Source organism: Homo sapiens, chromosome 4, assembly GCF_000001405.40.
Source record: "Homo sapiens chromosome 4, GRCh38.p14 Primary Assembly".
Classification (NCBI taxonomy): domain Eukaryota; kingdom Metazoa; phylum Chordata; class Mammalia; order Primates; family Hominidae; genus Homo; species Homo sapiens.
The window spans coordinates 183,868,972-183,883,364 of NC_000004.12; the positions used below are offsets into that span (position 1 = coordinate 183,868,972).

Genomic DNA, 14,393 nt, shown 5'->3' on the forward strand with positions numbered 1-14,393 from the left:
ATTTCCCCAGATTCTTCTGACTTTGATATTACTCCTCATGGTAAGACATGAGAATGAAGCTCTGGGAGATTCAGATTATTTTCTGAAACTTTAAATAATAAACACTGATTATGTATTTATTTGCTGTGTGAAAGTTCTGGATAGTGAAATTAAAACTTCCCAGTATGGTATGATGTAGACTCTTTTTAGTATACCTGACAAACAAAAGAAAGCAAGCCGTGCTATCTTTATAACACAATTTTCCATGACGAGGAAAGAAAATGGACAATAAAGAAAATACAAACCACCACTTAATAAAGCTGTCAGAATTGTTCGATGGGCCTAGAAACTGACTGTCATTGAGAGCTGTTCAGAATCCATGTCCATATCTGTGGTGCATATCAATTGAGGGGTAGAAGCAGCTTTTTTAAAGCTCTTTTTTTAATATAAGCATGGGAATCCTGTGAAAGGTTAAAAGCTATAATGGATCACCTTTTCAACTTGCTAAGTCATATTTTTATTATCTGAGGTGATCTGTATTAATATATCTGTATAACAGATGATTACACAGCCTTGAAAATAGAAAATGTTTTCATTCCTTAGATTAAATCAATAAAGGTGAAATTAGACCCAACTCTCAGAATACTTAGAATAGTCATTTATCACACTATTAGCTTGGCATCTCAGAATTTACCTTTATTAATTTTGGCTTCACTAATTCTAAATTTTGTGATTATTTAGACAAAAGTTGGACTAGAATTACTTTTGTGAGATTCTGTAACTGTGTAAGTAGAAACAATCAGTGACTATTTAAAGCTATGTACGAGACCATTCTTTGGAAGTTCCCATATACTTGGAAACATTGATAAGCTATTTAAAAACAATCCTTCCCAGTCATCAGTGGAATCCCAGAGATGCTTTTTCTTGCTTCTTTTTTGTACTGTATTCTGGGCTTAATTATGGTGGGACCAAGGAATGGGCGGGACCAAGGAATGGGCTTCTGATTCACAAGCAGGCCGTAAAGCAGCCAAGGTATCTTTCCCAAAATTTGTTTATGGCCTGATTGATTTGGGATGTCTCAGAACTCATACTTCCGTGGGCAAAAAAATCGTTGTAAGTAGTAGTGAATACATTTCAGTACTTACGATGAAATGAAGCCCATTTTATTCCATATGCAGCTGTGATAGTCTCATACTAGTATCTCCAAACTGTTATGTTGTTATATACTCTACCAGTACTAAAATACCAGAGCCATAGTATGATTAAAATGGCTTTGGGAACTTGCGCGACATTTTTAACACTACATGTGATTGTGTTTTGTATAAAAGTGTTTGTGTTCTAAGAGTTCATTTGTGAGTAAATGACTGCTTGTAGTAACGAAAAGCGTTGTTCAACCCTAAAACCATTTCTTTCTAGGTCGTCAAATACAGTTTAGATGACTATGGTTTTTAGCTATTTTAACTACCAGTAGTATATTAATAGCCTTGCACTTTTAGTCATTTCACCTACATTAGAGATTATGTTGGTTTTTTGTACTCTGAACTACACCATGAGTTGCCCTTTATAATATTGTTTATTGGGACAATGCATTCTACAAATGATGGTGGTTTATAAATTTTAAGTCTAGGGCACCTGTGTGCTCTTTCACTTAAAATTTATAAAAATATTTATTATAAGAATGAGAGTACAATATACTTAGTAATAAAAATCTTCAAATTTAAAACATGTTCTTTGGGTGATTTTCATAGCTGCTTTGTCTTTATATGGTCTTTCAAAGACATAGTTATGAATTTCAGTTGTTGCACTGATGGGGGAGAAGAATTTCAGTAATTACTATATTGAACGTGGAAATGCTGTATAAGAACCCCATTTGTTGTTCTTAAAAATATAAAAGTGAACTTTCTAAGAGGATTCCTTCTCTCTCAGATTAACAAGTCCACATTCATAGTCTACTGAATGTAAAAATGTTCTTGCTTGAAATCTTATATGATTCTATCCTGAAAGTTAAACTTAAGAAGCCTAGAAATCATGAAGATACTGGTTATATGTGGCTTACTGGATGGCTGCCTAAAATTATTTACGACCTTTTTATTCTTAGATGGCCTTATTTGCTTTAACTAATACGAGACTGCAGTGAGTGTTATTCTGGTGAGTGGGTGCCATTCCTGGCTGGATCTAACAGGGAGATACCATCCTTGCAGGGAGCACAGTCTTTATTCCTTGCAGTGAGACCTGCTTCTCCAGGTGTGCCCACACCTTGTTAACTGTCTTTCTCTAACTACTGTGGACTCTCTTCAGGGAATAAGAATTCTTTGTCCTCTCCTTGGCCGCCCTTCAGAAGCAAATGTCTTTCTTCTTTGAATGCCTTTGGTAGGCATTTCCTGCTCTGTTTTCAAGTCTTGCTCAACTTGAAAAAGTTTTTGAACCTTGAAAAGCAGGTATCCTGATCTGCTTTCAGTACTAATGCCAGTGATAAAATTACACTAATTGCTTTTAATCTCCTAGTCACTTTAGTTTTGGTATGAGAACATTCTGGTATTTGTGAACAGGCTTTTGTGCCAGAAAAATAATATAAAACCATTGCTCAGAAAAATAGTGCCATTAGGAGCCCTCAGCAGCACATAATAATGGCAATTAATGACAATCAGCGGCCAACTCACTGCTCACTGTATCTGATATTTTTTAAGGGAGCAAAACATATGAAGTTTATTTTATTATTATTTTTTTACTTTGTGTAAGTATTTTTACATCTGCTTGTGATTATTCTGCCTTGTAACTACCACCTCAGGCCCAGTTCTTTTTAGGGGAAAAAATGAATTCCTTATGTAATAAGTGATCGTTTGGAAAATTTCTCTGACAGACCGTGAGCTCTTCTTATGAAACATTCAATACCAAAAAAAAAATATGCAGCTATAATTCACTACAGAAGTATGGGTTTGTAAGAGAGATAGAGGATCTTATGTATCCAACTTAATTTCTTTTGTAAGGATGAAAATTTGCGCCTCATATATTAATGTAATAACTTAATATGAAGTGCTGCAGGTATTAAAAAAACCCTATCATCTGGATAAACTATAAGTTGTGCCAAGACAGCATGGCATCGAGTGGAATCATTTTTTTTTTGAAACAGAGTCTCACTCTGTTGCCCAGGTTGGAGTATAGTGGCGCAATCTTGGCTCACTGCAACCTCTGCCTCTGGGTTCAAGCAATTCTCCTACCTCAGCCTTCTGAACAGCTGAGATTACAGGCGCCCACAATCATGCTCAGGTAATTTTTGTAGTTTTTAGTAGAGACGGGGTTTCACCATGTTGGCCGGGCTAGTCTCGAACTTCTGACCTCAGGTGATCCTCCTGCCTCGGCCTCCCAAAGTGCTGGGATTACAGACGTGAACCACTGTGCCCGGCCAAGTGGAACCATTGGACCTTGTTCAAGATGACTGCCTTATTCGAAACACCTTCAGTTTAGGATTATATTGCTGCATAGACTCTAAAGGAAGAATTATAGCCAGATTCCAGAATATGTACAAACTTTTTATGTATTTAAAAAAAAATCACAAGTGTGTTTAAAAATGTAAATAAAGGCAGAAATATCAAGGCTATGTGTCAGAGACTTGAAATAGCATATTTAACATCGATCATAAAAGGGGCCTCTTGCAGATTGTGAAGTGGTGGTTTTTAAAATTAGAAGCCGGGTGTGTGGCAAGCTCAGAAGCATATGACATAGCTGTTGCTAGGGTAAGCGTGCTGCTTTGGGCCAATAGCTGAGTAAATAAACAAGATAAACCCACGTAAATTGATGGCTCTGGTCCTCCTAACTCATTGGCCATCTGCTTATTATTTTTTTTTTAATCCTGGGTTTTCTCACCCTGCAATGTCCATGTATCTGACACTTTGGAATTCAGATCTGCTCTATGAGATTAGTCCGTCATCTTTGTGTTCTGCTGTTTGCTTTTAGTGAAAGTTTGAAAAACCATGAAGGCCATGGAATCAATGATAAGACAGAACGTTTCAGAAAGTCACGTTCTGAAACTTGTCTATAAGCTGTGAATGTTACTTCTCAGATTTTTAAAGTGTTACTTACTTTTTGGAAGCTGGCTCTTTATTTTTAATACAAAGACAGTCTAAGTCTTTTCCCTGCATGTTATGTCCTGTTGGTATGTTCAGATCTGTCTATAAGCATTTTTGTGTTGGGCACATATAAAAATTGGGAGGATTGGGCTGGGCGCAGTGGTTTACACCTGTAATCCCAGCACTTTGGGAGGCCGAGGTGGGCGGATCACCTGAGGTCGGGAGTTCGAGACCAGCCTGACCAACATGGAGAAACGCCGTCTCTACTAAAATGCAAAATTAGCCAGGCGTGTTGGCACATGCCTGTAATCCCAGCTACTCGGGAGGCTGAGGCAGGAGAATCGCTTGAATCTGGGAGGCGGAGGTTGCGGTGAGCTGAGATCGCACCATCACACTCCAGCCTGGGCAACAAGAGCAAAACTCTGTCTCAAAAAAAAAAAAAAAAAAGGGAGGATTGGTTGATTTCTTTGGGTGTTGCATTCTAGGTTTCCAGAAGGTGCTGAGCCTGCCTTGACAAGCACTAAATGGTGACTGTGCTAGTAACACACGCAGCATGCAAGCTTCCTCCTGGAGCACTGTGCTGGGGGTTGTTTCCATAGATATTGTGGGATAGTAATGCCTCCCTTTACTGTCTCTTGGGTATGTTGAAACCGGGAAGTGAGACAATGCACATGAACATGCTTTGAGTTCTTTGGAAGAAAGCTACTTAAATCAGGCATATAATTAGTTTCATCACCATTATGTGTGTGCTTCTCCTGAAAATTGCCCAGGGAAGCTCCACAGTAAGGCAGGGCTGTAGTTGTACAAACACAAAGCTGCCAGGGCTGCACACCATGGAAATGGTGGTTTCCCCAGGATTGTAACTCCAGTGCTCTGTCATGACTCTGAAACGACACCTCCAATTGGAGAGCGTGGATGAGCTTCCTCCAGACTTGTGGTCTGCTCAGCTGAGGTCCGGGTACTTGCCTTCTGTTTCATGAGACCTCATCCTTTTCCCTACATGGGCTGGATATCTGAGACAGTGTGGCCTGTGGCTCCCATAAGTAAGTGGCGAGCGGACAATCATTCTGCTTTCCTAAGAGATGGGCATTCTGACTCAGATGTGGTTGTACCAATATCTTAGCAGATGGCAAGAAACAGATTGCAGAGACTTGGAGAAAAAAAAATGTCACGGATGTGTCCAACCCACTTTTGGAGCTGTAGCCCCATTTGGGATATTTTCTTATCAGTGACACTGGGAGAAAGGCTTCATCCCTTGGTAAAAGTGACCCTTTTGCATGCCATTTTTCTTTGGTTGTGCAGGGGGTTTTATTATTTTCTTCAACCCTAGCCTCCCTGCAGTCATAACTGAATAAGAAAGTCTCTTTGTATTTGCTCCCTTTTAGAGAAGGAGGACAGTCCTTAGGTTTACAGAGGTTCTCTTTAAGCAACTGCAATATTTGATTGACTCCTGGAAAGCTCAGAGTCTCAGGAGGACTGAAGATTATTAATGAGCTTTTACCTTTGTTGTGTATTTTAAAATGTACTTATTATTCTAAGCAATTATACAGAACTCTTTCTAATAGCATTTTTGTTCTTGATCTGTAGAACAGGGCACTTATATATGCAGAGACTATATATATATATTGGCCGGGCGCGGTGGCTCACGCCTGTAATCCCAACACTTTGGGAGGCCGAGGCGGGCGGATCACGAGGTCAGGAGATCGAGACCATCCTGGCTAACACGGTGAAACCCCGTCTCTAGTAAAAATACAAAAAATTAGCCGGGCGAGCTGGCAGGCGCCTGTAGTCCCAGCTACGCGGGAGGCTGAGGCAGGAGAATGGCGTGAACCCAGGAGGCGGAGCTTGCAGTGAGCCAAGATCATGCCACTGCACTCCAGCCTGGGCGATGGCGAGACTCCGCCTCAAAAAAAAAAAAAAAAAAAAAAAAAAAAAATATATATATATATATATATATATATATATATATATATATAAAACTTAGAATTTTGCAGTGTGAATTAAGTTTACATGTTGTGGGATAGCTTTGGTTTCTGTGATTTCTCAAGAACAGAGTCACATACATCTCAAGAGCTCCTGTCCTTCCACTGTCTGCAGACTTAGTGGCCCTGGGCTGCCTCTTTCCCTGACCAACATTTGTCTCAAGTAGTCACCAACAATGCCCATATTATTACAGGGTGATGGGGACTGTGGAGAAACTGAGTTCTAAATTTCTCTTCTTGTCTTTATTCTCTTAAAATAAGGAAAGTCCTTCTTTCTCTCCCTTCCCTCCGCTTCCTCAAGGCTTTCATGGTAGGTGGTGGTGAATACCTTGGCTGGGGTTTTAGAAGATGGGGCAGGGGAAGGAGGCAATTGTGGTTTTGTTTTCTGTTCCTTATTGATAGCACTTCCGCAGAGGCCAGTGGCTTTTCTAGGGAGAGTCTGTGTTTGCCCCAGGCGAAGCCTCCCATTTTATGGAGGAGCCTGTGATAGTCGGGACTGTGTTCCCTGGAGGGCTCCCTCTCACTGTGTGGGAGCCCGAGGCCTGGTGGAGCGGGCTTTGCAGCCTCCTCCTTTCATGCAGCAGTAGCTGGTGTCTCCTTTGCAAAGCCCTCTAAGAAAATTGAGTGGCAGCCTGTGTTTTGTCAAAGAAGGATGGAAGAGGAGGGTATACTTAAAACCTGGGTCTTGAGAGGATGAGCTCCGCTCGTTTTAGTCTCACATGAGTACTTTTATCATTATTGTTGTTGCTATTATTGGAGACAGGCAGGAGTCAAGTGCCATGATGGTGGCCCACTGCAGCCTTGACCGCCCAGGCTCAAGCGATCCTCCCATCTCAGCTTCCCGAGCAGCTGTGACCACAGATACATGCCACCACGCTGGGCTAATTTTTTAAAAATTTATTTGTAAAGATGGGGTCTTACTATGTTGCTCAGGTCCATCCAGGGAGGAGTGATCCTCCTGCCTCAGCCTCCCAAAATGCTGGGATTACAGGTGTGAGCCACTGCACCTGGCCACATGAATACTTTAGATACTGTTGACCAGAGGCCCCATATCAGCTAGAATTGTTGCAGGTGCATGTTGCCTATGTTCACCTTGATCCCCATGAGTTCTCCAAGAGGTGCAGATCTCTTGATGACCCAAGCTCTGCGTCTTGCAGACACCTGAACCCTGTGTCTGGCCCACACAGTTCTCTGACAGAGACTGTCTACAATTTGAACTTCAAGGGGCGACTCCCAGGCGGTCTGATGCATTACCCCTGACTTGGCCAGGTCCCAAGCTCTTGGCAGCCTCCCAGACTGCAAAGGCTGTGCGTAATGGCTTTCCAGAGAGTGTGCAGCAGGCCCGGGAGGCCTGGGCTCCTTTCCTTTGGGGGAGATGCCAGCTTTGGCTCAGCCTCCTGGTTGGCTCTGACCAGGAGGTCAGATAAGTGGATGACGTAAGTGGATGACGGATAGGCTTCTTGGTATTCCTTGTTTATGGTATTAATAACCAGACATGGAACTGCACCAGAAAGGAGGTTTTTAAAAGTGAAAGTAGTTAGTCATGTTGAGCCGGGATGGCAAGGAGAGGTTGCCAGCGCCAGTGGTTTGAAAGGTGCTGAGGCCCCACCTGTATGGAGGCAGCCGCTCAGGGTGCCTGCTGAGCTGTCAGTAGTTCTCATTGTCCCGTAGGGGACCCAGCACCTCCCCTCCTCTCTGCTGCCCAGCCCTGTGGCCTGAGCCAAGTCGTTCACGGCTGCGCCTCCCACTTTCTTGTCTGCAGAGCGAGTGGGGTTGCCAGGAAGGTCATGTAAACCAGTGAAGTGGGCCAAGCGGGCATTCTATTCTGACGTTTCTTGAAACGTGCACAAAGCCCTGTGAGTTCCATTGTGAGTGCGAATGGAGAAGCGTTTTCTAGACTGAGAACGGTTGACAGTAGTTCCTGCATCCTGGAACATGGCCGTGCCGTTCAGTCTTTGTGTTGGGGAGGGTCTTGGAGAATGTGTGGCCCCTCTATAGGGCCACCACTCGGCTTCAGGAAAAAAGGCCCATACTATGAGACTGTGTTTTTTGGGTTTTTTTAATGCTATAAATCTGTAAAACTTACCCAATTTCAAAAAATATGATGAGGACCAAAACTAAAAAAATTATATGTGGGCAGAATTTGCTGAGTCTTCCATCTTTGGGATAAAAACAATCTCTTTTAGCTCTAAGTTCTGTGAGTCTCTGATTCTTGCTATCCCCTGAACTAAAGTCCTGCTACTCAAAGCGTATGGTCTGGGGACCAGCACGTCAGCATCTCCTTTGAGCTCAAGAGAAATGAAGAATCTCGGGTCCGCACACAGACCTACAGGATCTGCATTTTAACCAGATCCCAAACATTTCCAGAAAGATGATGCTAAAATGTTTTGGAGTAGGGGAAACATGAACACCAGCCAGTATGTTAGCATGAATCTGGTTTTCAGGTTAATTCACTGACCAAAAGAATCAATGGATCAGAGCATATAGAGATTACTTTTGACCAAGGGAGAAAATAGGGTCTGTAACTTTGTTGCAGAGCCGTTTTGCATGCTCTGTATGCGTGCTCTGCACAGTGGAGTGGGACGCATGGAAGCTTTGAGTTTCTGGTTGAGGATAAAGCGTTATTAACTTTATTAAGAATTTTAAGCACCTGCCTCATGCCGCACTTCCGCTGCTGCTGCTGCTGCTGCTGTGTTTTTGAGAAGGAATCTCGCTCTGTCTCCCAGGCTGGAGTACAGTGGGGCGATCTTGGCTTACTGCAACCTCTACCTCCTGAGCTCAAGTGATTCTCGTGCCTCAGCCTCCCAAGTAGCTGGGACTACAGGTGCCTGCCACCACACCTGACTAATTTTTTTTTTCTTTTTACTTTTAGTAGAGACGGGGTCTCACCCTGTTGGCCAGGCTGGTCTTGAACTCTTGACCCCAAGTAATCTGCCTTCCTCGGCCTCCCAAAGTGCTGGGATTACAGGTGTGAGCCACAGTACCTGGCTTATGCCACACTTTCACATAATTTATCCTATTAAGCCCTGACAACAGTATCTTGAGGTAAGAATTATCACTTGAAGTTTTTAGACCTGGAAACTGAGTTGCAGAAAGCTTGAGGAACCATCCAAGGCCACTTGCTTGCTAGGAGAGGAAAGAGCTGTGATTTGCACCCAGGAGATCTAAGAAGAGCTTGTCCAGTGCAAGCTTCATTTATACAACTCTGCCATGGCCTGCCCTTGCTGGAGACATTTTTAGATTCAGTGAACCTGCCTGGTAAAGGTGCCATTTGTAGAATTCCCAGGAATAAGAAAAACTAAAATGCAGGCCTTGTAATGCTGCTCCAAGTTTATTCATTATGTTTTGTTTTTTGGTGTTTTTTGAAACAGCTATTACTTAAGCTTTCATTGGTGGTTTTGGCCACGGAAAAGCAGCTACAAAATAAGAAATATTTGTCACTTCATAAGGACCAATTATTCTGTTTTAACAGTCGTTTTCTGGGTTTAATCCAGCAAGTTGGGTCCTGATTTTGATTTGGAATTAGAATTACAGACAATAGCAAATTGAGAACATACATGCAATCTTGGTGTTGAAAGAAAACCAAATGAGTGTGAATCTAAAAAGCATGTTCATTGTGCACCTTTAATGAAAAAATTTTCTGTATAACGACCTCTTCAATTTAGTATTTAACATTTCAAAGGACTTTGAAGGACTCTGCCTTCTCAAAAGTTGTCAAAGATTTTAGCTATTGTCATCATTAGACTTCAAAGCAGAAACTGCAGGCTATTTTAATGCCAATGCTTTTAATCCTAACCTTTGTATTGAGATTAGGAGCACAAAGGATGGCCCGTAAGGGGTGAGCTGAGTTTTTCTATTTTGTTTTCTTTTTCTTTTCCCTAAAGATTTACAGTGAAAGCTCTGCTCTCTAGAATTGTTCTTTACTCATGGATAGTTTTTTTTTTTTTTTAGGTCTAAACTATTTTGAAATCTGCACAATGGTGTCTGTTATTAAAAAAGAACAGCCACAGTAATGAAAGGACTTGGCACTTACAGATCAATTTCATGTGCCCACAGCCTGTTTCTGTAAAAGATCAAGAGCCATAAATCTCTCCCAAATTATCTGTGTTTGTTATTATTTTAGTGTTTGAAGATTAGACGTGTGTATGGGGTGAAGGAGTTGGTGAGAATTATGTGTAGAGACCCCAGGCAGCCTCAGGCCAGCCTCGCGAAGGCATGTCCCCGGGCTCACTGCCACCCTCTCTCTCACCATCTCATCCTTCTTCACCTCCATGAGCCCTACACACATCCCTTGTACGCCTTTCTGCTCTCGGCCCATACATCAAGCATGGACATATTTGTGCAGTGTCCTCACGGAGCAAAAACAGAAGCACACGGTGGCTCTATGCTGGCCTCACTCTGGAGGAAACCACAGAGCTCCGGCAATGAATAGTTTCTCGGGTGTTTGTGCATCGCACGAGTTCACAATGCGGCTGGGCGCTGGGATACAGTGAGTGACTTTCTCTTCTCATGGGCCCTAACATCAGGTAGGCTTGTGTAGCCGTAAGTTAAGTGAGCCGCATCTCCATGATCTCTTCTGTCCCTGGCAATGTCAGATGCCTCGCGTTGGTGTGGCACCTTTCACCATTTCTCCACGGACAACTCCATCTATTAATTTCTTGGAGAAATCTGGAGCCCAGATTTAGGGGGCTCAAGTGGCATAGTTGATTTGCTGCTGATGAGTGGAAGGAAGGGTTAGTGGGAACCTGTTGGGTCTATGGCCAGCTTTGGAGGAGGCTTGGGGGATGGGAGCAGGATGCTAAATACAGGGAAGAGGGGTGGGGTGTACTTGAGAAGAACGTGGGGGGATGGCGCATGGCAATGAGAGGCGATAGTACGACATGGTGCAAATCGTACCACGTCGGAAGTCAGAGACCTAGGGCCTAGTCCACTTGGTGCTGCTAACTAGCTACAGCCTTAGGAAAGGAATTTGGTGCCTCAGTTTCTTTTCTTTTTTCTGTTTTTTTAGAGACGGAATCTCGCTCTGTTGCCCAGAGTTGCATGATCTTGGCTCACTGCAACCTCCGCTTCCCGGGTTCAAGCGATTCTCCCACCTCAGCTTCCCAAGTAGCTGGGACTACAGGCATGCACCACCATGCCCAGCTAATTTTTGTATTTTTTTAAGTAGAGACGGGGTATCACTGTATGTTGGCCAGGCTGGTCTCGAACTCCTGACCTCAGGTGATCCGCCCGCCTTGGCCTCCCAAAGTGCTGTGATTACAGGCATGAGCCACCGTACCCTGCTGAGTTTCTTTATCCATATACTGTGAGTGCAGGAGCAGATGGATTTAAAAATCTTCAGATTTAAAAGTCTTCTTTTTCAGTTATTAGACGATTTGATTCTAAAGTATCCAGGTATAAACCAATCAACCAACCAACCAACTGATCAAACAAGCCAGAAGTCTTTTCATGGAGGAGAAAAACTGTGAATTTTGCAGAACGATTGATTGAAAGCTACTGTTAGAATTTTAAGAAGAGAATGTCACAGCCAGATCAGAGATAAAGATAATTTTTTCATCTACATTCAACATGTCCAGAAAAAGTATGTTTGGAGACTAGGAGAACAGAAAAGATGGCACTAAAATGTTTAGGTTAGAATTAACTTGGGGCCTTCGTCTGATAAAATGAGAGATGAAGAGAAAAAGATGGAGCCAGCAAAGTTTGTGAAAGAGACAGCAGAAAGCCTTGACAATGTCTCTGTTAGATGTTTTCCTCTCATTTTACAATTTGAACAACCAACATGAAATTTTAGCATTTTACCTTGGACAGATAAAGAACATTGTGGGGTAATATTTTTGCCTGTTTGATAACTTACTTCTGAACAGGATTTTTTTTTTCACCTGTGTACAGACTCTAAGGAGGAAATTTTTTCAAGAAATACACGTGATTGTTGGAGAGTTAAAATTTAGACCATTGTGTGAAGCTGTTAACGTCTGTCTCATTGGCTGTGGGAAGAAGAGTGAAAACATTCTCTAAATATAATCAACAGAGCTGTAGGGTGGTACAGGTCTCTTCAAGAGCCTTTCTGCCTTCAATGAGACTGAAGTAAATTGCCTTTTCTGAATTCCCCAAGGGCTGCTGAAGTTACTCGCAAGCTCAGAGATTGTCTAGGAAAGAGGTGCAGCCACACCATCAAGAGGTGAGGAAATCTTAGTCCCAGTCGTGGAGAACAATAAAAGGCTGGCTGAGTGCAGTGGCTCACACCTATAATTCCAGCACTTTGGGAGGCTGAGGTGGGCGGATCCCGAGGTCAGGAGTTCGAGACCATCCTGGCCAACATGGTGAAACCCCGTCACTACTAAAAATACAAAAAAAATTAGTTAGGTGTGGTGGTGCGCCTGTAGCCCCAGCTACTCTGGAGGCTGAGGCAGGAGAATCACTTGAACCTGGGAGGCGGAGGTTGCAGTGAGCTGAGATTGCACCACTGCACTTCAGCCTGGCGACAATGCAAAACTCCTTCTGAAAAAAAGAAAAGGCTTGGTCAGTGAATGGAAAGGACATCACTGCCTCACATTTTAAGCTCTTATATATTTGTTAAATAACTAAATGGAATTTCTTCTGAGAACTAGAATTCAACATGAATTATTACACAGCGGGGCATAGAAAAACCTGATAAAAATATTGAAATCTCTGTTTAAGATGATATTTAGGCAGAAATACATGGAAAGAGTAATTTTTCTATGTTTAATTGTATTGCTCTCATCCTCACTCAAGCCAATTTCGTAGCACGAAATAGACTTTTCATCTGATTTCATTCTCTGTGTGGCATGCGTGCCATCATCTGCGTAGCTTTGGAAAGCTGACGGATAGTGAACAGAATTATCATAGATCGAGACATCTTTGGGTATTCTCCATTCTAGAAGTGGAACTTAATTTGAACCAACAACTTTAAAAGTAACGTATTTCGACTGGTTTGAACTTGAGCTGACCTAGAACTGAATTAATTACATGTAATGAGGACCCCAGCCAAGGCACCACTCGGACATATGCGCTGTGGCCAGCAGGGCTATGTGAGAAGTATGAGTAAGTGACAGATACTAGGACTTCAGGTCTACTGTACACTGATACCCAGCTCACTGTTCTGGAAAATCACAGTGAAAATGTTTGTCCGAAAACAGATTCCAGCCTGTTCTCTTTTTACAATGACTCCCAAAATGGAATTTGGGAAACTGAATCCCTGAGATAAAATGCCATTCCCTTGATCCCAGTTAGACCCTTCCCTGTTTTTCTGTGTGTGGAATTTTCTGTTAATTGGCCCTTTACTCTGAATACACATTGATCTTTATGGGTTCCTGAGTGCTAGGTTCCCACTTTTTAAAGCAATTATAAAAGAAAAAACAGGGCATTTCCCAGACGTAAAACTCCTTCTCATTTCCCAGTGGGTCGGTTAATCCCGGGATATTGCAAGAGTTCAGTGAAACCTAATTCAATTAACTTCTATCACTTCATTCTATCCCAATTTTGAGTATACCTTTAGCTGCATTAAGTGGAACAAAGCCAAGCTTTTGGTCAATGTCAGATTAATATCTTTCTCCCAACATTTAGATTGAATGCTTAGTTTTTGTAGTTGACCAAATGCACTGTAGAGTTGTAGCAGCTGTTAGGATTTACTATGCCTGGGTTACACTTTTGCTGCTTCCTTTTAAGCGGGCTTCATATTTCATTGAATCTTATAGCTGGAAGAGACCTTAGAATCCTTCTGGTCTGATGCACTGGTTTTATATAAATGAAGTAATGAAGCCCACAGAGGCTAAGAGACAGGCTTAAGGTCACAAAGCTAGACAGTGGCAAAGCCGGGGCTAGAACTGCAATTTCCCACCTCTTGCACCAGTGTTTTTGGTAGCTTACTTCTGAACAGGATTTAATGATATTCTTTACCTCTGTCCAGATTCTCAGTGGAAACATTTCCAAGAAATGCTAAATGTTATTGTTGGAGATTTAAAATTTAGACCATTTTATATAACTGTTGCTTTTTTTTTCTTTTTATCACGTACAATTTCTAAAATACACAAAAGTAGAGAGAATAGAAAAACAAACCCAATATCCGGCTTCAGCAATGTCATCATGTTTCATTTATATCCCCATCTACTCCCTCCTCCCCCCAATTATTTTGAAGCAAATCTAGACATCATATTAATTCATCCATAAATATTTCAGCATGTAGCTCTAAAAGATAAAGACCCTTGAAAAATAGCTACAATACTATTACTAACCTAAGCAAATTAGAAGTAATTCCATAATGTTATTAAATACCCCATAGTTGTTCTGTTTGACATGTTATAAATTTTTTTTTTTTTTTGAGACAGAGTCTCGCTCTGTCGCCCAG

General features: G+C 42.0%; 1 protein-coding gene across 2 annotated transcripts in view, besides 1 other annotated feature; it reads left to right on the forward strand.

Moving 5' to 3' along the window:
• The window catches only part of STOX2 (storkhead box 2), a 225,509-nt gene that overhangs the window by 70,950 nt on the left and 140,166 nt on the right, over positions 1-14,393 (forward strand). The window lies entirely within an intron of this gene.
• Positions 9,400-10,152: an enhancer, noted in NCBI's record as "NANOG-H3K4me1 hESC enhancer chr4:184799524-184800276 (GRCh37/hg19 assembly coordinates)". NCBI's record gives its function as "activates a minimal SCP1, AML or CMV promoter by ChIP-STARR-seq in naive H9 embryonic stem cells {active_cell/tissue: H9 hESC(naive)}" and the evidence as "EXISTENCE:reporter gene assay evidence [ECO:0000049][PMID:30033119]".